This window comes from Homo sapiens, chromosome 8, assembly GCF_000001405.40.
Source record: "Homo sapiens chromosome 8, GRCh38.p14 Primary Assembly".
Classification (NCBI taxonomy): domain Eukaryota; kingdom Metazoa; phylum Chordata; class Mammalia; order Primates; family Hominidae; genus Homo; species Homo sapiens.
In genome coordinates, this window is record NC_000008.11 from 109,889,257 (window position 1) to 109,898,028 (window position 8,772).

The 8,772-nt window shown below is 33.0% G+C and overlaps 1 annotated feature.

The window, feature by feature from the left end:
* Nucleotides 7,300-7,801: an enhancer, noted in NCBI's record as "NANOG hESC enhancer chr8:110908785-110909286 (GRCh37/hg19 assembly coordinates)". NCBI's record gives its function as "activates a minimal SCP1, AML or CMV promoter by ChIP-STARR-seq in naive H9 embryonic stem cells {active_cell/tissue: H9 hESC(naive)}" and the evidence as "EXISTENCE:reporter gene assay evidence [ECO:0000049][PMID:30033119]".

An 8,772-nucleotide genomic window follows, 5' to 3' on the forward strand; every position in this document is an offset into this window, starting at 1 on the left:
GATGTTTGTCTTGAAAATCATTTGGTTTTTCCTTATATGTCTTTATATCTGGTAATGCTAACATTATTCAGTATCTTTCTTTTTCAGTTTTTAAAATAGCTGCTTTTGCTTGATTAATTTGTATATAAGAAATCATAATCTTCTTATATGGCTCCAGTAACATTCTTCTGTTATTTTTATTGGAATTTAGTTTAATGTGTAGCTTATTTTAAGGAAAATTAGCATCTTTATAATATTAAATATTTTTAACCTATAAAATGGCATGCTTTTCTATCTGTTCAAAGCTTCTTTTATATTTTTCAGTGACTTGGATTTTTTTTTGTATAAATTTTGGAAATTTTTGGCCAACTTTATTGTAGGAATTTAATATTTTGAGTTGTCATTATAAATTGTGTCTTTGCTCCCATAACGTCCTCTTACTGGTTGCATTATTAGTTCGTATTTACGGAAGCTTAAGAAAGATCTTGAGCCCAACACCTTATGATCTATGGAAAAACATTATTTACTAAAGAAAAATGATAGACAATCTCAAAACAAAACAGATGTCAAACAATCATCCTTTACTATGTACCCAAAATTGTCTTTCTTTTTCAAGAAACTGGAATAAATTCCCCGTAAAAAACTTACTCTATACTCCCTTGTTCTAACCACATTTGCTCTAAGGCATATTCCTCAGGTGATGCAAATGATAGGTTTCTGACATGCTTCATCACCTACTTTCAAGCTAACATGAACATGTGTTTTCTAGTCTAATTTTTCAAAGACACTAGAGTCAGAAGAAAAAAAATTACTGCATGACTAATTTGCACTTAGGATAGAATGTTTATTTTATGCTGCTCAAAGAAAATTTACCTCTTAAATATTCTGTTCTCATCCACAAAATTATTAGATATTAAAAATCGATCTTAAAGAATAACACAAGGCCAATAAAGTCAAATAGTTTAGATCTTGATCAAGTTTTATTTGATAGATTATTTTTCTGAGCTAAGTTACTAAAAGAAGTCTCGTATATGGGGCTGCGTGTTGCTGAAAGGGCCTGGGTAAAGCCTTTGAGAAGCTCTATCAAGTCAAAAAAGAGAGAAGTAACCAGCAAAACATTGGACACATGCTCATTTTTGACTTTTATATGAGCGTGTTTGAAAATCATGTATGAGGCTGGGAGCTGTGGCTCACACCTGTAATCCTAGCACTTTGGGAGGCCGAGGAGGGCAGATCATGAGGTCAGGAGTTCGAGACCAGCCTGACCAACTTGGTGAAACCCTGTCTCTACTAAAAATACAAAAATTAGCCAGGCATGGTGGCACACACCTGTAATCCCAACTACTCAGGAGGCTGAGGCAGGAGAATCGCTTGAACCCGGGAGGCGGAGGGTTGCAGTGAGCCGAAATCATGCCACTGCACTCCAGCCTGGGAGACAGAACCAGACTCTGTCTCAAAAAAAGAAAGAAAGAAGAAAAAAAAAGAAAAGCATGTATGAGCATGATAAGATGACTTTTAATATACATATGGAGCCCCATGGTCTAAAATAGACGTGGATATGGGTACATACAGAACAAATGACCACAAAGGCCCGAGTTGCAAAGTAAACAATATCAGCGTTTTGCCAAATATGAAATTCCTACCCAACATAGACTACTAAAACAAAGTTTCTTATTTTTCTTCTATTTTGTTTTTAGGAATTTATGGAATGAGATAAGTGAAGTAAGGAAGATATTACAAAGAATATAATTGTAAAATACAAACATCACTTATTGAGAATTTGCTGTTTCATGGAAGTTTCATTATGAGTTACCTATTAAGTCTTTATCAATTCGAATACATTTGTGAATTATAGAAAATTGTTATATAGCAGATTAAATCAGGATAATAGCTATTACAGTTTGTGCAAAAATCAGATCCAAAATACAGCTACTTTTATGTATATTATGCTAAGCATTCTATGAGCTATTATGGACCAGTTAAAGCGCTTAATCTGTATCTCAGATGATGGAGGGAGAGCCTCAGAATGATTAATTGATGTAAACTGAGGCATAGAAGCGAGACAAAGAGCTCAAATTATAACATTTTGATTCTTGTTTTAGTTTAACAAGTAGTGATTTTTTTCAACTCCTTTATTAAATAGTTTTATTCTTTTGTCACATTCATTCTCTGTATAAATGTTAATATAACTGTTAGCACTTAAAATATGATACTGGTTATTATTTGACTGACATACAATATCAGTATCATTATCTTAAAGGGAAATATGCATCTGGACATTTTAATTAAATATAAAATAATTTAATCATACTAAATGTTTCACAATGTAGAGCAGCTGCCTTTGGAACTAAAGAAATTATAAGTGACATTTCTCCTTTTGCACCTCTCATTATACATGAAATCTATTATTACTTCCAGATGTGTTATTAGATAAGTAATTTGAGGCTAAAAATTTTTTAGCAGTATTCTTATTTCAAATGTGAAGTGTTAAAATTAACTTGGCATCTGTATATTGGCCATAATATTTTCTATAAAGGCTTTATTTTTACTCATTGTAGAAAAATTCTAATCAAATTTATCTGTAAGACTATGGACAGTGACTGATAGCCATGTCAATAATAATAGAACTGAAAATTTCAACATGGTTTTGCATTATATTATTCTGTACAAAAACAAAATAAGATTTCTTATTTAAAATTCTCTGTAGATAAGAAACTAACATTTTGCCAATTTGCTGAAGATATGTTTCCTTTCTAGAAGGGTGCACTAAGAGTGTATCAACTAGTTGATTCAGTAATGTTTGGATGAGGTCCACTTGAGTTACTGATGTTTGAAGTAAAATTTCAAATTAATTAAGTGGTGATAAAGTTAGGATAAGCAAAATTTGAAATTCACAATCAGAATAGAAATAATATCATCCCTCCACACTATGGACGAGATGGGTATACAATTTTCTTTTCCCTTTTGTCTGCAGGACAAGTAGATTTTTTTTTTCTTAATGTGGACACACCAAGGGAATTTGATGATATTTACATAAAATCTGAGCAGCTAGTTGAACTATAAAAAGCCAAGTACTGGTGTTATAACTATACAGTGGCAATTAACAAGACAGATATTCTTCACCACAGAACTAATATTAAAACAAAATCCTTTCAATAGATCAAATAGGCTATGTTTTGGAAATATGACACCTCTGAAAGGTCATTAATTCATGGAATTGAGATTTACTTTGGCATTGTGTGGTTGAATATCTATAAGGGGCTATAATTAAAAATGAAAAAACAATCACCCTCATAGTTCAAATACGCTTTTATCCCTGTACTTCCTTTTTTTTCTTTTCTTTTTTTTATTATACTTTAAGTTTTAGGGTACATGTGCACATTGTGCAGGTTAGTTACATATGTATACATGTGCCATGCTGGTGCGCTGCACCCACTAACTCGTCATCTAGCATTAGATATATCTCCCAGTGCTATCCCTCCCCACTCCCCCCACCCCACAACAGTCCTCAGAGTGTGATACTCCTAAACATAGCCGTAATCTGTGTATAAAGATGAGGGAGAGAAAAATGAAGAGGACATTAAGAATGAATTAGTGGCTAAATGGGTGCATGAGGAATGCTCAGGATCTCCATGTGCAGTTAAGAAATAGTTAAGTGGAAAAATAAAAAAGGGAGAGGTGAGAATGTATTTAAGAGGAGGGCGTATTATTTAAATATTTATATAGGCTAGTAGGAAAAAGCTTTATTCAAAAGCAAGCCAAAATTGTGGTAAACAACAACAGCAACAATACCAACTAAACAATCATGTTAATTAAATCAGAATTTTATAGATTTGACCTCTTGAATGTTTCTCGAGCTTTTGCCTTCTGCCTTATCCTCACTCCACTAGCCTGGTCTTTTATAAACCTTTCCATTTCTCTTCTTGAAGCCAGATTTTTCCCTTGCTGATCCAATTTCCACACTCATACCAGAGCTGGCAATCTAAAATACAAACCTGACTCATTTCACCTGCTACTTCAGAGCCTTCTATGGTTCCCTGTGGTCCTATAACAGAAATTGAGACATTTACCACTGAACCCCTGAATTCTTTTCTGTTTTATCTTTAAACTTCCCATTATGTCTCCTCTGTTGCAGGCACACCACACCAATTGACATGACCTTTTAATTTACTGGTCACATACTTAAAGTGCTTTCCTCTTCTTTTGCTGCCTTTGGAAGTTTTACCAATCCTTTGAGACCTTGCTCACTATTCTCCATATTCTCTAAGCAGAGCCAGTAACCTTCTCTTCAATGTTGTTATGACATTCTGTTAATGCCCCTGCTGCTCCTTAATTATATTATATTGCAATTATTTATTTATGTGTCTCTTTGACCTACAAGATGATGACTCAAATGCAGAGGAATATCTTAGCCCTTCCTCCACCTCTGCAATGGCTACCCCTCCGCTGTCAGATGATAAAGATCCAGCAGCTCCAAACTTAAAAGAGAGATTTGAATGTATCCAACATTCAAATGTTGTGCTTCAGAAATGATACTCAGGGGATCAAGATGAAACCTGTAGGAGCTAACCAAACCAAAGGATAGGAAGAGTTTAAAGTTAATTGATAAGCATCATTAGAACCATTTAGGTTAGGTGGAACCAAACAAATTGATCTATGATAAATTTTTTGGCGTTTCTAAAAAACTTTCTTACATTGCCAACTTTTTTTCTTCACTTTTTATTTCTTACTGAGAATATTCAGACTGCTTAAAAAATTACTGCATTCAAAATGAATAAAATAGCAGTTTTTTACATTCATATCTCAAAATAACTTCACAGATGGTCTTCAAACTTTCCAAGAAAATAAACTTTGGAAAGAAATCAAACACGAGGTTTTTCAACCTAAAAATACACCCCTTAACTCCAGCAAAGTTATAGATATGAGGTAACTAGATATAATTTCACTTTGATTAATTAGCACTTTCATTGTTACCAATATTGTCATTTCCTGGAGAAAGATATTGAATTTATATATATATATATATATATATATATATATATATATATATATATATATATATATATATAAAAATATACTTGAGTAGTAACAATTATTTACATATGTTCAAGATTTAAATTTTTATTTAATGATTATCATTAGAACATCATTATCACCATCATCATCATAGTCATTGTTAACAACACTCTCAATTAGTTACTATTTTCCAGCTGCTTTACTAAGCATATTTTTTTACATATTTTTCCTCATTTAATATTTAGATGTCTATAAAGATAGTGTGGCAGATACTGAAGGGAACTCAATATCTTTCCAATTTCCTTCTTTTTGATCTTTATATATTATGGTGGTTAGAAAGTGAAATATTCAAACTTATAATCTGTCCTGTAGCTAGGTTTGTGAATGTGACACAATTCTGACCAATGAGGAATAGGTGGACATCTCGGGGAGAGAATCTTTTCCCAAAGTCTTTCACGAGAGAATTTTTGCCCTTTGTCCTTCCCAATGTTTGCCTAAAACCTGATCTGATGCCTGAACATTCAGCAGACACTTTGAAAACATGAAGAACAATGGATGCTAAGAATAGAGATGCAAGAAGAATCACTTGGGACATTAAATAGCTATTAGAAAATAGCTTCATCCAAAAGCAACCTCTTTCATGGTAAACAATAAAAATACTAAGCAACTATGTTAATTTAAACAGAATTCTGCAGATTTGATCCCTTGAAAAATTCTCAAACCTTTGCCCTCCCCTCCATCTTTGCCATCTGGCCATTTATAAGCCTTTCAATTTGTCTTCTTGAAGCCCCAATTTCTTCCCCTTCTTGATGACCTAATTATCAACAATAACTTCACTTTTTGTTTCTCTACCTCAGTATTTTTAGTTATGGGAGAAAAATAAAGCCCGTATTTAGTTAGACTGCTGTGGCTGGGACTTTCTTAGGCAACTAAACACAAAACTAATTCAGGTTGATTCTGCTATCTCTGTTTTATAGATGATGAATGGAGGATCAGAGAGGTTTTGCAACTTGCTCAAAGTTGCATAGGCTGTAAGCATGTTTTGCAGGATTCAAATTCACCCTATCAGAACCAAAGCTAATATTTACATTATGCAATTAAAATTTTTTCCTATTAGGTGGAACCATTTAGAAATATCAATGGCAGTTTCATATGATTCATCCTAATTGGTTGAGTAATATAATAATAACATATGTTGTGAGTATACACACACACACACACACACACACAAGAATTCTAATATTGCATCTTTATGTTTCTTGGTCAATCCATAAAATTCAGATTTAATTAATTCAGGTGGTGAATATGGAAATTCTGTAATTACTGGATTAATGAAATTACTATTTCCAAAGCTAATAATTTTTAGTATATAAACATAGCTTTAATGCTATGTTTATACAGCACTCAGCAAATGCTCCAAAGTGTTCATTGAATAAAGAATATTTTGAATTGTTTAATGTCCTTTGCAGGTGACTTTTGCTTTGAACAATACGTTTTGAAGGAAGAAAATTATTACTTATAATATAGTTATTGATCTGATGCTTAGTTATGTTATTCTTTGGAAACAAATTTCTGGTTTTACCATGGGTATTCTTTCTCACTTGGTCTGATAAACTCTTATTCTTATTTTAAAATATGGCTCAGATCATCCACATTGTAAAGATTTCATAATATCTTCCTTGGTATTATAACACCTGTTTACCTTGTACACAGCTTATTGCATTAATTACAATCTCTTATGTTTATTTTTCTTACTAATTTATGAGCTTTTTAAAGAAAATAATCTTATATTTATCTTTATATCCCAAGGACTTGATGGCAATTGAAAATATTCAATGAATGAAATGTATTTTTCTGATTCAAAATTATTTAATATCAACTGTACATTTTATAACTATAGATTTATCTGAAAACATATGCTTTAAACTTTCCAAATGAAACTTATGACTTAATTGTTGGGGAATATAGGTAAGGCACTCACTGGAAAGAAAATATAGTAAGTTAAAGTTAAATTTTGAAGAAATATTTGAATGTGTGGAGATACATAAAATAATTCAAAGAGGAAGAAATGGAGAAGTGGGCGGTAGCAGATGTCTGTGGCTATAATGGACATCCAGACAAAGTTCCTCTGTGATTTCAATGACATTTCATCATCGTTGTGTGAAAGCAATGAGATCTATATAAAAGACAGCTGAAGGCTGGTGCACGAGCATGAATAAAAGGAAGAGCGTGATGGTTGTGAATGTGGTTAAGTTTTGATATGCTTTAAAAAGTTCTGCTTTGTTGCAACATTTTTTAGTATGAAGTCACCGTTGTTGGAATTAGGAGACAAATCTAAGATTATATAACTCTTTATGTGACAGAAATATGAGATTTCTGGTGTTGGGTAAGGCAGTCCACCATGGGCCCTGATCATTTCTAAATGTTCTTGCTGAGTATCCCAGATCTCAAGGCTTATCCATCTCCTAATACCAAACCATCCTTGCAGCTGGTCACATAGACAGCAAAGTACACTGAGGTAACTATAGCACAGCTTCAGCATAACTGATTGCTCCCTGGGAGTAGAGTATTGTCTTGTATGCTGATTGCTACAGTGTTTGTCAGTCACTCACAATGTGTTAGGGCCCTTGGCTTCTTTCCTGTGATGCAACCCACTGTGTGCTGCTGTCATGTAGACTTTCACATTACCTTTTGGGAACTTGGGTAAAGATGCTGATGTTCATGGTGCTTGTTGTGCTGTGAGTAATAAAGCCCTTTTCCTTGACCCCAGAATCTATTGCCTTCTCTCTGGATCCATGAAACTCTGGCAAGCTAAATTGTTAGACTGCCAATCGAGTAAAATTTCTGACCCTTCCCAGTTTTTGAAAATGGATGTTTCTTTCATAAAATCCATGCTTATTGGATAAATGAAATTTTATATCAGATTGAGTGGTATACAAGGGATCATCTGAACATAAATATTGAAAATATTTATAGAATATTTTCTATTCTAGAAAAATAAAAGCTAACATGGAAAATATTGGAACATCTTGAGTTAAAGTGGCTCTCATGTTCTGATCAGTTTGTAAATTTATTTTTTTCACACTTAATGAACATATTTTTATATTTATGTTAAGTAGACTTTTGGGCTGGGTAGGTTATTTTAAAGCACTGGATTTCAGATACTATTGCTAGATATAATGGGTAAAAGGCAGCTGATACCAGAGAAAGATTGAATGCTTACTGGAGCTTTCAGGAAATTTCACTCATACATACATAAAAGTTAATAAAGAGTTCTATTGAAAAAGCAACATTGGGTTGAAGAATGGCAAGTGAGTAATGCAATGAAAGTAAAGTGCTTTTATAAATAGTTGGAGACATGGTTATACATATAAAATAGACAGTCAATAGTTCTGTTAGCACTGTATTCCAGGGCAGTCAAGTGAATAATGAAACAGCAGTAAGATACTCTTTTAGACACGGGGAGACATGGTTAGTTGCAGAAGTAATTGTGTTGTAATCATTGCTGACTTTTGAGTTTTAAAGAATCTTTTCAAATGCTGCATCAAATGTTGTAGTGTAAAGAAACATGGAAAAATAAGCACACAATATTGGAAACTGCTGCCAAACAAAAAACAAAAAGAGTGAAAAATAATGGGAATTGTGAATTGGGGAGCATGAGAAACACGAAAGTGTTAATGATTTAAGCCTGCTAACATGCATGAAAAAAGATGCCATAAAGATGTGTTCATTAATTCAGAAACTTTCACAACCATGAGAAGAGAGATTCCAAAGTGG